The 17,510-nt window shown below is 35.9% G+C and overlaps 1 protein-coding gene across 7 annotated transcripts in view; it reads right to left on the bottom strand.

The window, feature by feature from the left end:
* IRAK1BP1 (interleukin 1 receptor associated kinase 1 binding protein 1) overlaps positions 1–17,510 on the bottom strand; it is a 111,861-nt gene that overhangs the window by 73,663 nt on the left and 20,688 nt on the right. For 2 of the 7 annotated variants that reach the window (XM_006715336.4, XM_047418193.1), the window contains exons 3-5: positions 7,790–7,920; positions 7,451–7,685; positions 2,639–2,757 (exon numbers count right to left, since the gene is read on the bottom strand). The exons of 1 other annotated variant lie outside the window; for it this stretch is intronic. In XM_006715336.4, the coding sequence (XP_006715399.1) occupies positions 2,665–2,757; positions 7,451–7,685; positions 7,790–7,920 (459 nt within the window). In that variant the 3' untranslated portion in view covers positions 2,639–2,664. Of the gene's footprint in view, positions 1–2,638; positions 7,686–7,789; positions 7,921–17,510 lie in introns of those variants that run through there. 4 more of the 7 variants (XM_011535447.2, XR_942279.3, NM_001010844.4 and 1 more) reach the window with 4 other exon arrangements.

Below are 17,510 nucleotides of genomic sequence, written 5' to 3'. Positions count from 1 at the left end.
GTGCCTGTAGTCCCAGCTACTCGAGAGGCTGAGGCAGGAGAATCACTTGAACCCAGGAGGCGGAGGTTGCAGTGAGCCGAGATCGCACCACTGCACTCCAGCCTGGGCAACAGAGCAAGATTCAATCTCAAAAAAAACATTTCTAACAAGTAGCAGACTGAAAACTTAGCATTCAAAGTATTACCTCCATATATTCTGGAAGTAATATTATAGGCCCTATCATGCCACACTATTTTTCAAGGAATTTACTGTTTCTTCAACTGCATGTCTCTGTCCCTTTCTGAATATTCTAATTCACACATAGAGAAGCAGTAATTGCATGGCTCTTTGAACATTGCTGATGTTTCAACTTTTCCTGTCATCAGGGCTACAGTGATCAACTGAGGGCTGAAATCTGTCCAAAACTCAGAGCTTCATGTATTCTCATAGTTATTTAGGTGGCTGTTGCAGTGTTATGTTTCCAGAGTTATCACCAAACAATATGAAATATCATTAATTAATATTGGTCAATGAAGTGTCTAATCTTTTAGAGAAAACACTTCTAAAGCGTTGTATTTAATATTAGGGAGATCAATCCTCTATTTCTTCTTTTTCAAGTATTTAATAATTGAATATTTTGAAAATGAATGCAATGCTTCAGAGGAGTAATATTTTGGGATACTGTAAATTCTCAACATTCCTACAAAATGAAACCAATACAGTCATTCTTCAAATATATGCTGAATTTTGTGGTTTGCAAGTAAATTCTCTTTAAAAGTTTTAGCTGCATATTCCTATTGATTTCTTTGTGGACGACATGAATCTGTATCACTATATCTTTTTAGAAATAGGTACATTGAAAATGAAGATGAAATCTATGCTTACTTTGTACGTATTGAGCTAGTGAAATATTTGATATATTAAACATAATTCTGTATTTTATTTTGTTGACATTAAACTTTGAATTAATTATACTTCACCTCCTATTCCCTATAGAATGTAATACCTTGAAGTTTTCATGATTAATTTGGTACAAACTAAACAATTTCTTTTGATGCTATTTACTTGGGCTGGAGTTGATTTATCTGAATTGTTATACTAATTCTTTTTAAATGAAATTATAATATATATGACTGATTCAATGGAAGAACAAAGCATTACTCTTTTGTATGAGCTATACATTTACTGTTGCTATCAAATACAAATATGATTTTCTAAAATATCCTTTGGAAGTAAAATTAATGCCCGTGCGAACAAATTCAATTTAAGCATCTGTTTACTAAAAATTGTAAGTTTACTGAATTTATTAGATGCAATTTTATAGTGGCTGCTGTCAGAATTTCAAAAGCAACTTTCTCTGGCCAGCAAGTTATGGCCTGCTGGTGAGGAATGTGTGGCTTAAGTGGTAATCACCCTCAGTGGCAATAGGAGGTAAAGGGCAAAGATACACACTTATAGCTGATCCAATAAGCTTGAAATGAACATAGGTTCTGAAATGATTTAAGAGGCTTGTTTACACAACAGAATGTATGTTGTTGCATAGCCACAAACTACTTTTTGAGAAAGCTAAGCTCTGGAGAAATAAAAGCATGCTTATTGGACTGCAAAATGTGCAAACACAGTTTGAATATGTGTCCTGCATTTCCCATCCCTGCTTCCAGGTGTACCAATGTTCAGGTAACTTTGCCATAAACAGTATCTGTCTTATTTGAGAATAAAGCACGATACCTCACAGCCAACTTTTTTCCTCCTTAGCCTTTTATTACCCAAACCTTGGGAAAAAAACTGTTTCAAGCATAGCCCTACTCTTGAGGAGTTCACAGTCTTGTGAAGGGGAAGATAAAAAATAATTAGGGCATAATTAATGTGACCAGCGTAAAACTGATGTCCATATGAAGCACTGAAACTATATGTCTGTATTTTACTCTTTGCCCAAAATTGTTCTTTGAAAAAAGGAGCAGGATAGGAGACAGAATCTTTATTTTTGAAAGACACTGAAAAAGTGTCTTATTCTGAAAAATGGACATACAGTCCCACACGTACTGTCACTGCCTGACCCCTGCCTATCACATGGTAAGCGACATGGCATTTGGGAGGCTTTTTTTTTTTTAATTCAGGGATCAGTAACTTATTTCAGGATCATTTTAGATTAGAACTTTCACCTGCCACCTGGGCTTTTCATCTTTTAGTGTGTAAATTATTTTTAGTTTTTGGTTCACTAATATTGTCTTGTTAATTATACTGAGCATATAAAACCCTAATACATCTTTTTCTTTTTTTTGCAATAGTCTCGCACTGTCGCCCAAGCTGGAGTGCAGTGGTGTGATCTCAGCTCACTATAACCTCTGCCTCTTGGGTTCAAGTGATTTTCATGTCTCAGCCTCCCGAGTAGCTGGGATTACAGGCGTGTGCCACCACACCCAGCTAATTTTTTTTTTTTTGTATTTTTAGTAGAGACGGGGTTTTGCCATGTTGTCCAGGCTGGTTTCAAACTCTTGGTCTCAAGTGATCCACCTGCCTCGGCCTCCCGAAGTGTTGGGATTACACATGTGAGCCACCATGCCTGGCCTCCTAATAAAGTTTAAACCCTATGTAGCAAAGAATACAGTATGCTTTTTCTTAGTCTTCTTTTTCTCACTCTTATAATGAACCAACTTACATTCAGAGTCCAGAGGCAGTATTTGTTCATTTGATGTGGGATTCATGATAATTCACAGGTGACATGGCTATCTGGGAGTAATTGTTGGTTGGGATGTTGAAGAAGGATTCCAGGAGTTGCTGAAACAGAAATATCCTTCTGATAAACAGGTTTATAAGAGTTTTATTGTTTTAATAGTAGAAAACAATCCTTCTTGAAAGATTTCTATTAATATTACCTCTCTTGAAGAGCAGTGTCTGATTTGAATTACCCACTGTGAACTACAGTCTTGTAAGATACTGGGCATTTTATGTATGTATGTATGTATGTATGTATGTATGTATGTATGTATGTATGTATGTAGATGGAGTCTCACTTTGTCACCCAGGCTGAAGTGCAGTGGTGCGATCTCGGCTCACTGTAAGCTCTGCCTCCCAGGTTCGAGCGTTTCTTCTGCTTCAGCCTCCCCGGTAGCTGAGATTACAGTCACACGCCACCACGCCTGAGTAACTTCTGTATTTTTAGAAGAGACAGGGTTTCAATATATTGGCCAGGTTGGTCTCGAACTCCTGACCTCAAGTGATCTGCCTACCTCGGCCTCCCAAGTGCTGGGATTACAGGCGTGAGCCAACGTGCCTGGCCTACCCGGGCATTTTAAATAAATTTAGGCCACACTAGGTTATGAGTAGAAGCTATTTGGGGCTGGGTGCAGTGGCTCAAGCCTGTAGTCCAGCACTCTGGGAAGCTGAGGCAGGACTGCTTGAAGCCAGGAGTTTGAGACCAGCCTGGGCAACATAGCAAGACCTTATCACTAATAAAAAATTAGCCAGGCCTGGTGGTGTGCACCTAATGTTTCAGCTACTTAAAAGGCTGAGGTGAGAGGATTTCTTCAGCCCAGGAGTTTTTAGGCTGCAGTAAGCTATGATTGAGCTACTTGCACTCCATCCTGGGTGACAGAGCAACAGCCTCAAACAACGACAACAACAAACTCAGTGATTTGGTTGCAAATACCATATATGTAATAGTAAATGTCTAAATGTTAGCTTAAACTAATTTATATAGGTCTTTTTTTGTTGGAATAAATAAAGCATTTGCTTTCATTTTGTAATGCAGATAATCATATAGTAACTCCCACATTTGATCTCATAATTCATGCTTTTTATAGGCTATAAGAACTCCTTACTATTAAATTCTTATCAACAAATCTGACAGAGTTGAGATATCCTTAGCCCATATTCCTGAGAAGGAATATTACAAAACAACAATTATAGGATGAGGTACAGCATCTTGAGTTACAAATTATTTTTCTAAGTCCTATTTGTTTACACTGAACTCAAATTGACCGTCAAATAAGAATACTGATAAAAGTACATTGCCACTATAAAAAATGTAATTTTTAGTATGTAATTGAATGGAATCCTAAAATTCATTATGAATTATCAGTAATATATGAAATCTTATTTTAATAGCATTTCCTTTTAATAGCACTTCCATTTAGGATACAGTGGGTCTGTTTCAAATATCCTATTTAGAATTTTTGTTTGTCTTTCAGAAAATAGAAATTATAACTTCCTACTTTCTGGAAAGATTTTTTTTTTTTTAAACAGAGTTCAAAAGAAGGAAATTCTAACAGGATTAAGTTTAGGATAGGTTTATTCTAGTAGACTTTGTGGCACAGGTCCCCTAAATAATTCATCATAAGATTCCAGTGTATGCCATGTATCAAGAAATTAAATTGCTATCAACTGACAACTAAATTTGATACCCTTTAGTATACAGAATACTACACATAAGTCTTTCCAATCTTTGAATGATTTCTTCCCTAAGCTCTTCTATAGAAAAATGTAGGATTGTATACTTTACAGGATTTTTTTGTTTTTTTTGGAGACAACATCTTTAAAAGTTCCTGGAAATTCTAAAAAGTGCCTACTAACTTAAAAAAAAAATTGTCTTTAGGTATTTCATGCTAAGTTGGAAGCTTCTTTATCAAATATGATGCAACCAAATACAGCATGAACCCATAGCTAAAAAAAAAAAAACTACCCATGTGATTAAATTTTTGTTGAGAACGAACAATTTTTTTCTTGATGCACAACCTCATTCTACTTTTCTGTACAACTGGATAGTAACTTCTTTTTGGTAATAAAAATTCAACATATGTTACATTGGTTTTCTGACAACTTTATTTTCAATATGGCTATTTAAAAATTCTTCCTAATGGAGGATTTGGAAAAGCCAACTTTTAATTGAGCCAACAATAATCAAACAATGCAGCTGATATATCAGCTACTATTTTCAGAGTGACCGTTATGTGCTAGCAATTGTTCTCATGATCATATATTTATCAACTTTAATCCTTATAATAACACTGCAAGGTTAAGTACTATTAGTCTCTTTCATTTGTAAGGACAAAGGAAGATTAAAGAGATTAAAGTAACTTGCCTTTTATCCAGCTAGTAAATTTTCCCAGCAAATATTTGAGAGCATACTTGATATTGGCCCTGAGACTACCTCTGGGGCTGGGAACACAACTGTGAACAAGACAGACAAGATCTCCACTTTCAAGGAGCTTACATTCCAGTAGTAAGGTCAGGATTTGGATATAATGGTGTTGAACTCAAACTCTTCTTAGCTTCTACTCTTCCCCTACAGCAACACTCCAATAAGATGAATAAAATTGTTTCAGGGCCACTTTAAAAAGTGGGTGAAGCTGGACACTATATACTGGAATATGTTGTAAGAAAGTACTGTTGGTATATAAACATCCAGATTTATCAATGGAAAAACTCTATGACCTAGATGTATAGAGAATGGAAAGCCTATGCTGCATAACAGACATGGCTTATGATTGCCTGTAGATAAAATGTAATTCTTACTGTAGATAGCAGTAATACATACTTGCTGTTAACTTTCAAATGGCCTTAAGAATCATTATTATCTCAGTGTTTGACCTTGGTCTGTTCAGCAAGGTAGTCTCAAGCCATTTGTGGCCTTCAAGTACTTGAAATATGGCTAGTGTGACTGAGGAACTAAATTTTAAATTTTATTTAATTTTAACTAATTTAAAAACTGATACTTGATCCAGTTACAAGATTTTTTAGGCATGCTAGAACAACCTGGGTATGTGAATCTCTTTTTTTCAACTGTACATTTTAGGAAATTTAAATACAGATAAAATATTTCTGATGAAAATTTAGCATGTGAATTGAGATGTGCTATTATGTAAAAATATACACTGAATTTTGAAGATAAAACAAATATCTCAATTTAAAAAATACTGATTACATGCTGAAATAATATTTTTGATATATTTGGTTAAATAAAATGTTATTAAAATTAGTTTCAACTGTTTCTTTTTTAAAGTTTTATTTTTAAAAATGTGCGTACAGGGCCAGATGCAGTGGCTCACGCCTGTAATCCCAGCTACTTGGGAGGCTGAGGCAGGAGAATCGCTTAAATTCAGGAGGCAGAGGTTGCAGTGAGCTGAGATCGTACCACTGCACTCCAGCTTGGGCGACAGAGAAAGACTCCATCTCGAAAAAGAAAAATAAAAAAACATGTGCACTAGGAAATTTTAAATTACACATATCGTTTGCTTTGTATTTGTATCACTCTAAGGAGCCCTGTTGGAGTCCGATCCAAACATTAACTCTTTTATTTTTGGCATCAAAACATTTTCCTATTATACCTCATTATTCTTTTGTAAAAAGCTATGAATTATTTATCACTATTTCTATTCATGTTGTGAAGTTGTTAAGGTTGGGGTTGTTATCTGCATCTTACCAAAATGGTCTCTGGTCCTAGTAAAGAAACTGTTAGATGTGAGATAGCCCTCAGTAGACTTCACCTTCCTAAACATATTGCTGGGTGTGGCAAGCATGAAAGACCTTGGCTGTTCTTTACCTGGGCCATTTCTCAGTATTGAGTTTTGAGTGAGCATCTATAAGGGATGAGGCAAAGAGCAGGTTTGCTTCTGTTCATGGATAAAAAGCAGTGAACCCTCCAAGCTCAGTATTCTTTACCTACAACAAAAGCCTGCTGTATATGTAGCCATATTGCATATGGCCATATCATTTTGCCCCCATGGGACCTGGGACAAGGGGAAGCAATGAGAATGTGCTGATGCTCATGCTCCTTGTTGTGCCATGAGTAATAGTCCTTTGTTTCTGTCTGGGAATCTCAAGTCTTCTGTTAGCATCCATGAAGAAGTAACAGGGTAACTACTTAGCTTCTAACTAAAGTAAAATTAAATATCAGACCTGACAGGATGCACTTAAAATTATGTATTTATACTCATTTTTAGTTGTGGAAAATTATTAGGTTTGATGGGATATAGGAATTCTTTTCCATAAAAATTTTGTCTTACAATTTAAAAAATTTAGCTAACTTATTGAAGCCTAGTTTTTACATAAAATTTGGTTTTATATAAAAATGTGGCTGAGAAAATTTTAGCTTAAATATCTTTAAAAATTATGAAATGCAAGGGTCAATATCTGTCCTTATAATAGAAATATTACACATGTGCTTGTATGAACTGTCAGTATATAAGTATGCACATAATACATTTATTATCCAAGAGTGTTTTTCAGAGTAGTCTTTTAAAAATAGAAAGTGAACATAAGTATTCTGTGGGACTATATTCAAAGATTTATAGATTTTGGAAAGAAATAGCTTATCTCCTATACCATATATATATATATATATATATATATATATATATTCAGGACAAACGTAAACATTATAAAAAGTATAAAAATAGGTAAAAAGATACAAGTACAATATAATTTGTTTGGAATTTCAAAGGTGCTTTTTTCTCTTCTCTTTTCCCTTTACCTCAAAAGTTATAAATACTTTTGAAGCAGCATGTATTGTTGCACTTTTGATTTTTTGTTGTACAGTTAATGAACTTGAGAGTCTGGATGACTGGTGATCATCTATTTGGCCTTCCCATTCTTTTGTTTCTTCTTCTTTGATTAGTAAAGGTTTTCCTAAGGTTTGGCCAACAAGGTTACAGACTTCTTGAGCTTTGCGCCACGCATTCTCAACAGCAACAAGACAGGCTTGCCGTCTTAGGAATTAAATGGAGAGATTATTAATATGACACTCAATGAAATGTAGCACTGGATAGTTTTGTTTAAAGAATATCTTAGTTAAAGATGTGCTTAAACTTACCGAAGATTCTCAACAGAACCTGGAGTATGATAGAACTGGGGTGGGCTGATGACAACAGAGCTATCTAGCTTTTCAACAAGAAAGTTACAAATATTTTGCATTTTTCCAAATTCAGTAAATGTAATGCAGACCTGTAAATGAAATGACACGATATTATTTTCATGTCTGATGTACTGTTTCAAGATTTTCTCTACATGTAAGTAAAAAAAGTATAGCCAGACTATGAGGTCATTTTATAGTATGTAACAGATTTTTAAAAGCCTATTTGATACTTATAACTAAATTATTTTGTTCTTTAAGATTTTTGCTTTTGAATTTTCAAATTTATCTAATATTGTCTTGAATATTAAAAAACTTATATTTTAAACCAGGGATTTTTAAATGAAATTGAAGGAGTTTCCCTTAAACCTTATTACTTGGCTAAATTTTAATCCTGATAACTAGCATGATTCCTTTGTCTAATCAATGCCCTTAGCTTCCTGATTAGTAGTAATCATGCCATACTTCACTGCTATCATTGAGAAATGTTTCTTCTTCCAATAGTTCTGTTCAGATCTATATGTGGAAGCTAATGTATTTCACTCTGTCTTCTGCCTTTAAATATGTGGAAGCAGTCCTTATATTCGGCAATACTTTAAAACCGGTCTGTTAAGTCTTCAATGAAGGGAACTAAACCTTGTCTTTTTTTTTTTTTTTTTTTTTTAAGAGAGACAAGATCTTGCTACGTTGCCCAGGCTGGAGTGCACTGGCATTATCATAGCTCACTGCAGCCTCAAACTCCTGGGTTCAAGCGATCCTCCTACCTCAGCCTTCCAAGTAGGAAGGGCTACAGGCATGCACCACCATGCCCAGCTAATTAAAAAAATTTTTTTTGTAGAGGTGGAGTCTCACTATGTTCCCCAAGCTGGTCTCAAACTCCTGGCCTCAAGCAATCCTCCCACCTTAGCGGTTGTAGACATGAGACACCACACGCAGCCTAAACCTTTTCTTCTAAAGAACCCTTAACACAAGGTCAATATGCAAAACAAAATACAGATACTACAGAATAAGCTGGAGTAGCAGAGAGAGACATAAGATAACCTCACCTTATACAATGCAGAACATCTGTCTTTAATCATAATTTTTTTTTTTTTTTGAGCCAGGGTCTCTTTCTGTTTTCCTGGCTGGAGTGCAGTGGTGTGATCACGGGCTCACTGCAGCCTCAACCCCTGGGTTCAGATGATCCTCCTGCCTCAGCCCCCCGAGTAGCTGGGACTACCGGAACGTGCCACCATGCCTAGTGAATTATATCACTTTTGAAAAAGGTATAGAACTTTGTAACCACCATAACAAAAATTTAGACCTGTTCCAACACCCCTAAAAATTCTCTCAGGTAACTCCTTTATCAGTTCCTTCCCCAGTTCCTAAACCCTGGCAACTACTGATACATTCTCCACTGTTAAAGATTTGCCTTTTTCAGAATGCCATATAAATGGAAGCATATAGTATGTGCTCTTTGAGATTACTTCTTTCATTTAGCATAATGTATTTGCAATTCATCCACATTGTTGCATAATATTTTTGTTCCTTTTATGCTGAATAGTATTCGTTACATGATCTAATCACAGGTTGTTTTTTTTTTTTTTTTTCCATTTAGGTTGCTTCCAGTTTGGGGCTATTATAAATAAAGATGCTGCTTTTTCAAAGTAGTTCTAGATCCTTTGTATTTCCAAATGTATTTTGTAATCGGTTTTTGTCAGTTTCTATTTTTTGAAAAGCTGGCTGAGATTTTGATTAGGATTGTATAGATTAATTTAGGGAGAACTGATATCTGGAATAGTGAATCTTCCAAACCATGAACAAGAAGTGTTTCTCCATTTATTTAGGTCCTCTTTAATTTCTCTCTGGAATGCTTTGCAGTGTTTAGCACACAGGTCTTTCACATCTTTATAACAGATTTATCCCTATGTATTTTAAATTTTTTGATGTTTACTAGTTCTAATAGCTTTTTTGTAGATTCTATCAGATTTTCTACAATGGTCATGTTGTCCATGAATTAAGATAGTTGCACTTCTTCCTTTCCACTCTGGATGTCTTTTATTCTTTTTCAAGTACAATGGTGAAAGAAGACATGAATGAAGACATCTTTGATTTGTACCTGATCGTAGGCACAAAGCATTCACTGTTTCACCATTAAGTATGACAGCTGTAGGTTTTCATGGATTCCTCTTATCAGTTTGAGGAAAATCTCAACTGTTCTTATTTTACTGATAATTTTTACTAGGAATAAATAATGGACTTTGTTAAGTGCTTCTTCTGTATCTATTGAGATAATCATGTGATTTTTTTCAGTTTATTAATGTAGTGAATTAGATTGACCAATTTCTGAATGTTAACCAACCTGGGATACACACTTGGTCATTATGTATTAATATTATTCTTTATACCTGCATGTAAAGGATACGTGTGTGTGTCCATGTGTGTAAGCATGTATGTGTATAAATCATTAAATTTGGCTAAAATTTAGTTTATAATTTTTGCACATTTATGATGGATATTGGTCTGTAATTTTCTTTGCTTGTAATGGTATTTTTCTGGTTATCTTCTGACCTCAAAGAATGAGCTAGGAAATATTTCTTCCTTTTCAGTTTTCTGGAAAAATTTGTATAGAATTGGCATGATTTCTTCCTTATACACTTTCTAGTTTCCTTTTCAATTTCTTCTTTGACACATGGGTTACTGAAAAGTATGTTTTAAAATTCAGCATATTTGGGGGATTTTCCTGAGGCCCTTCTATTACTGGTTTTTAATTTAATTACACTGTGGTCAGTGAACTTTGTATGATTCAAATACTTTTTTTTTTTTTTTGAGATGGAGTCTTGCTCAGTTGCCCAGGCTGGAGTGCAATGCAATGGCACGATCTCGGCTCACTGCAACCTCTACCTCCCGGGTTCAAGCGATTCTCCTGTCTTAGCCTGCTGAGTAGCTGGGATTACAGGTGTGCACCACCATGCCCAGCTAATTTTTGTATTTTTGTAGAGACGGGGTTTCACCATGTTGGCCAGGCTGGTCTTGAACTCCTGACCTCAGGTGATCTGCCCGCCTCAGCTTCCTAAAGTGCTGGGATTACAGGTGTGAGCCACTGCGCCCGGCCAAATACTTTTATATGACACAGAATATGGTCTACCTTGGCAAATGTTCAATGTGCACTTGAAAGGAATGTGTAGGCTGCTGTTTTTGGAGTGTTCTATATATGTCAAGTAGGTCAAATTGGTTGACAGTGTGATTCAAATCTGTTATATTCTTACTGATTTTCTGTCTATGGTCTTATCAACTACTGAAAAGGGGGGTATTGAAATCTACAAAAGTTGTAGACTTATTTATTTTTCCTTGTAGTTATATCATTTTTCCCTTAAGTATTTTGAAGCTTTATTATATGTATAAATATTTAGTGCTGTATGTCCTCTTGATTAATTGACTTTTATCATTATGAAATGACTGTCTTTATCTTTCATAGTCTTTGCTCTGAAATCTACTTTGATTACTATAGCCACTCCAGCTTTCTTTTCATTTACGTTAGCATGACATATCTTTCTCCATCCCATTACTTTTAACCAACATATGTCTTCATATTTAAAGTACACTTCTCTCAGGCAGCATGTAAGTGGAGTTAACTTAAAATATCTGTATTTTAATGAAGGTATGTGGACCATTTACATTTAACGTGATTATTGACATGGGTAAATTTAAACCTGTGGTCTTGTTATTTCCCCTTTACTCATTTTCTGTTTTCTTTTTGATATTTTTATTATATTATTTCATAGCTTTCATTGACTTATTAGCCGTAACTCCATTATTTTAGTGTTTGCTTTAGGATTTACAGAATACATATTTAAGTTATTACAATCTACCATCAAGAGCTAGCATATCATTTCACATATAAGAAGTTTATAACACTGTACTTCTGTTCTTCCCTTCTTGACCTTTGTGCTATTGTTGTTATATAATTTATTTTTACATATGTTATAATCCCTGTAGTTCATCATTATCATTTATTTAGTCAGTTATCTTTTTTTTTGAGACAGAGTCTTGCTCTGTCGCCCAGGCTGGAGTACAGTGACGTGATCTCAGCTCACTGCAACCTCCGCCTCCTGAGTTCAAGCGATTCTCCTGCCTCAGCCTCCTGAGTAGCTGGGACTACAGGCGTGACCACCATGCCTGGCTGATTTCTGCATTTTTTAGTAGAGACAGGGTTTCGCCATGTTGGCCAGGCTGGTTTTGAACTGACGTCAGGTGATCCACCCACCTCGGCCTCCCAAAGTGCTGGGATTACAGGTGTGAGCCACTGCACCCAGCCTAGTCAGTTATCTTTTATATAAATATAGAGATTTCTAAAGAGATTTATATTAAGAAAAACCCACGTAGTTACCATTTTCAGTACTCTTCAGTCCTTTGTATAAATTCCTATTTCTTTCTGGCATCATTCTTTTCTGCTTAAATGATGTCATTTAAATTTCTCATAGTGTAGGTCTACAGGTAATGAATTATTTCAGCTTACTGGAAAGGTCTTTAATTGGTCTTTGTTTTTCAGCACTACTTTTGCTGGATATATTAATAGAAACTCTTCGTTGATATATATATATATATATATATATATATATATATACACACACACACACACACACACATATATACACACATATATATACACCTTTTAGTTTTAAAGATGTGGCACAACTGTCTCCTTGCTTGCATTGCTTTCAACAAGAAATCTGTTGTCTTACCTTTGTTCCTTTGTAGATAATATGTCTTTTTTCTCCTCCTCTGGCTGTTTTAAGATTTATCACTGGTTTTGAGCAATGTGATTATAATGTGTACTGGTGCATTTTTTTTTTCAATTTCTTGTGCTTAGGGTTAGTTGAACTTTTTGACTCCATGGGTTTATAATTCTCATAAAGTTTGGATATTTTTGGGTCATAATTTTTCCAAGTATTTTTCTTGTCCCCCACTTTCCTCTGCATTGGGACCTCAATTATATGTATAATAGGCTATTTGATGTTGTCCTACATTTTATTAACTCGTTTTTACATCTTTCTTTTCTGTGTTTCATTATGGATACTTTTTATTGCTACATTTTCAGGTTCACTAAGCACGTCTTGTGTAAGGTCTAATTTGCTGTTAATCCTATTCAGTGTATTTATTATCTCATACACTGTAGTTTTCATCTTTGGAAATTCAATTTGTTTTTTGTTTTTAATATCTTGCACATCCCTCCTTAACTTTTGAGCATGTGAACTACAGCCAAAATAACTTTTAATGACTATGTCTTTTAATTCTAACATCTGTGTCACTCCTGAGTTGGTTTGGAATTGATTTTTCTCCTTATTATGAGCTTTACTTCTCTGCTATTTTATAGACTAGAAATACAGGTAAACCGAATTAAGATAAAATTTCATATAAATAAATGTAAAATCCCACAGTTCATACTGAAATAGCAGTAACAAAGTATAAGATGAAAAAAATATGATTTAAAGGTAGCACATGAGAAAGACACTTTTATTGTTTATAATTATTATGACTATAAGCTGAATTGAGGGAACAATATGATGCAAATGCCAAAAAGTTAATTCAGTCTTGCATGTGTTATTAGAAATAAATATTCTAGAATAAGGGAGATAATCAACTTTCTCTAGTTTGGACTGGCCAAATCATAAGTAGAACAATATAGCTATAGATGGTTTTGAATGAAACTGGCTAACTAAAGAAAGAGTTTGTTACATAAGAAATGGCCAAACAGGGTTCTTACCCTGGAAAAGAAAAAAAAAGTAGCATCAATATGAAAATGAACTTCAAGTATATATTTTAAGGAAGAAGTATTTACCTTGTTTTGTTTCTTCTTACAGAGGTACACTAATAGATGGCTACTAGTGAGTCAATTTTGGCTTAATGTTCAAAGATTCTCTATTGATCAGATGTCTGAAAACGGAATGAGTCTTATATATTCATGCCTATATATGTATAAAATATTTCACAATAAAAATAAATAAAAAAGATTGGATGGAATAATATATGGAAAATGCTTAACACATAGCAGGCATGCAAGGAAAAGGAGAGGGAAAGAAGGGGGAGAAAACTATATGAGTAGTTATACTACTACTTTTGCTTCCTGATACACAGTATTGAATACCTATTATACCCCAGGATTAAAAAATTCCTCTAGGCTGGGCACGGTGGCTCACGCCTGTAATCCCAACACTTTGGGAGGCAGAGGCAGGCGGATCGCCTGAGGCCAGGAGTTCGAGACCAGCCCGGCCAACATGGTGAAAACCCGGTTCTACTAAAATTACAAAAATTAGCCAGGTGTGGTGGCAGGAGCCTGTAATCCCAGCTACTCAGGAGGCTGAGGCAGGAGAATCGCTTGAACCTGGGAGACGGAGGTTGCAGTGAGCCAAGATCACGCCATTGCACTCCAGCCTGGGTGACAAGAGTGAGACTTCGTCTCAAAAAAAAAAAAAAATTCCTCTAAACACTAAGGTTATAACATGAAAATAACATAAAAAGTGGAAAGAGTACTGGTATAGGAATCACAAAGCTAGGATTTTAATCCAACCCTCCTTCCCACATCCATTCATTCACCTACCATTAAAGTCATCACTTAGAACCTTTTTTTAAAATTAAATCAACAGTCAGTGTTTGTACTATTATGATTGTTTACAGCTGAACAATATAGTGTACTATGATTGCATTTCTTTTCTTCTAGTCTTCATTGAATTCCTGGGAGTTAATAATCAGTTCATTTTTATTTGTTTGCTTTCTTAGTTGTACATGTCCTTCAAACCCTCTGACAAAAGCTATAAAATTCAAATAAATAGGTCAAATTAATTGGGTAATCTATGAGTTCCTTTATTTTTTTCTTGGAGGCATTTTACTGAAGCCCTTAGTCCTCCTGTCCCCTGAATCTGGGGACATTCCTTTGCCATTACCTGGGAACTCCTGTTTTTCTCTTTCTTGGTTTGCTTCCTCACGTATGGTAGGGAAATGTTTTGAGACCTTGTATGCAGGAGTGATGTTTCACATTTTTAACATCTTTCAGAGGGCATTAATCCATCAGATCCTGGCCAAATAAAGAACAGTGTGACACTTCTGGTCAGCCCTGTCTGCTTGTCCTTGTATTACCGTCTCCTTCATTGTTTTTTGGCCAGGTAAGGATTTCTAGATTAGACATTGTTTTCTCTCAGAATTGGAAGATGTTGCTGTCTTGCTTTTCAGTTTCTAGCTTCCAGTGTTGACACTGAGAGGTCCAATTGCTGTTCAGATTTCTGACCCTTGGTTTGTGAACTATTTTTCTTTCTCTAGAACTTTTGGAGTCCTTTTATTCCTGGGGTTCTAACATTTCCAATATGCTTTGATGAGTTTGTTGTTGTTGTTGTTCATTGCGCTGGGCACCCACTGGGTCCACTGAATATGGAAATTCAAATCTTGCATTTTAGTAAATTTTGGATAAATTTTTTTGATTATTTTATTCTCTTTCACTCTGTGCTCTCTTTTTGGACTTTTTTTTTTTTTAACTTATACTTTAAGTTCTGGGATACATGTGCAGAACGTGCAGGTTGTTACATACACATGCCCTGGTGGTTTGCTGCATCCATCAACCTGTCATCTACATTAGGTATTTCTCCTAATGCTATCCCTCCCCTAGCCCCCCACCCCCTGACAGGCCCTGGTATGTGATGTTCCCCTCCCTGTGTCCATGTGTTCTCATTGTTCAACTCCCACTTATGATTGAGAACATGCGGTGTTTGATTTCCTGTTCCTGTGTTAGTGTGCTGAGAATGATGGTTTCCAGCTTCATCCATGTCCCCGCAAAGAACATGAACGCATCCTTTTTTATGGCTGCATAGTATTCCATGGTGTATATGTGCCATATTTTCTTAATCCAGTTTATCATTGATGGGCATTTGGGTTGGTTCCAAGTCGTTGCTGTTGTAAATAGTGCTGCAATAAATGTACGTCTACATGTGTCTTTACAGTAGAATGATTTATAATCCTTTGGGTATATATCCAGTAATGAGATTGCTGGGTCAAATGGTATTTCGGGTTTTAGATCCTTGAGGAATTGCCACACTGTCTTCCAAAATGGTTGAACTAATTTACCCTCCCACCAACAGTGTAAAAGTGTTCCTATTTCTCCACATCCTCTCTAGCATCTGTTGTTTCCTGACTTTTTAAAGATTGCCATTCTAACTGACATGAGATGGTATCTCATTGTGGTTTTGATTTGCATTTCTCTAATGACCGGTGATGATGAGCTTTTTTTCATGTTTGCTGGCCGCATAAATGTCTTCTTTTGAGAAGTGTCTGTTCATACCCTCCAACCCACTTTTTGATGGGGATTTTTTTTTTTTTTTGTAAATTTCAGTTCCTTGTAGATTCTGCATATTAGCCCTTTGTCAGATGGATAGCAAGCAAAATTTTTCTCCCATTCTGAAGGTTGCCTCTTCACTCCGATGATGGTTTCTTTTGCTGTGCAGAAGCTCTTTAGTTTACTTAGATCCCATATGTCAATTTTGGCTTTTGTTGCAATTGCTTTTGGTGTTTTAGTTATGAAGTCTTTGCCCATGACTATGTCCTGAATGGTATTGCCTAGGTTTTCTTCTAGGGTTTTTATGGTTTTAGGTTTTACACTTAAGTCTTTAACCCATCTTGAGTTTAATATTTTTATCTTTGAAACAAAGAGAAGCAGCATGGCAGGTGGAAGGTAGATAAAGAATTTCATGCCTTTTGGAATGAAATTTTTGGACATTATGTCAAAAGTAATGTTCCACCATCTAATCTTTCTTTCTTTCTTTTTTTTTTTTTTTTTTGAGACAGAGTCTCACTCTGTTGCCCAGGCTGCAGTGCAGTGGCATGATCTTGACTCATTGGAACCTCTGCCTCCTGGGCTCAAGCAATCCTCCCACCCCAGCTTCCAGAGTAGATGGGTCTACAGGTGCATGCCATCACATCCACCTATTATTGTATTTTTCTGTAGAGAAGGGTTTTACCATGTTGCCCAGGTTGGTCTGGAGCTCCTGGGCTCAAGCAATCCGCCCACCTCAGCCTCCCAAAGTGCTGGGATTAGAGGCATGAGCCACTGTGCCTGGCCTCATCTATTCTTTAAAAAAAATTATTTAGGCCAGGCTAGGTGGCTCATGTCTGTAGTCCTAGCACGTTGGGAGGTCAAGGCAGGCAGATCACTTGAGGTCAGGAGTTGGCCAGACCAGCCTGGCCAACATGGTGAAATCCCATCTCTACTATAAATACAAAAATTAGCCAGGTGCCTGTAATCCCAGCAACTCCAGAGGCTGAGGCAGGAGAATCACTTGAACCTGGGAGGCAGAGGTTACAGTGAGCTGAGATCATGCCACAGCACTTCAGCCTGGGTGACAGAGTGAGACTCCATCTCAAAAAAAAAAAAAAATTGGAGCTGTACTGAGGTGTAATTTATATATAAAAACTGCACATATTTAGAATATACAATTTGATGAGTTTGGACATACGCATACACCTGTGATACTATCACTATAATCAAGACAAAAAACCTATCTATCACGTCCAAAATTTTCCTTGTGTCCTTTGTGTATGTGTATGATAACAACACAACATGAGATCTACCCTCTTAACAAATTTTTAAGTGCACAACACTGTGTTAACTGTAGGCACTACACTGTATAGCCCATATCTAGAATTCATCTGCATAACT

The sequence above is a fragment of the Homo sapiens genome, chromosome 6 (genome assembly GCF_000001405.40).
Source record: "Homo sapiens chromosome 6, GRCh38.p14 Primary Assembly".
Classification (NCBI taxonomy): Eukaryota; Metazoa; Chordata; class Mammalia; order Primates; family Hominidae; genus Homo; species Homo sapiens.
The sequence above is the reverse complement of the archived record's forward strand: the minus strand, read 5'-3'. Positions and strand labels throughout refer to the sequence as shown.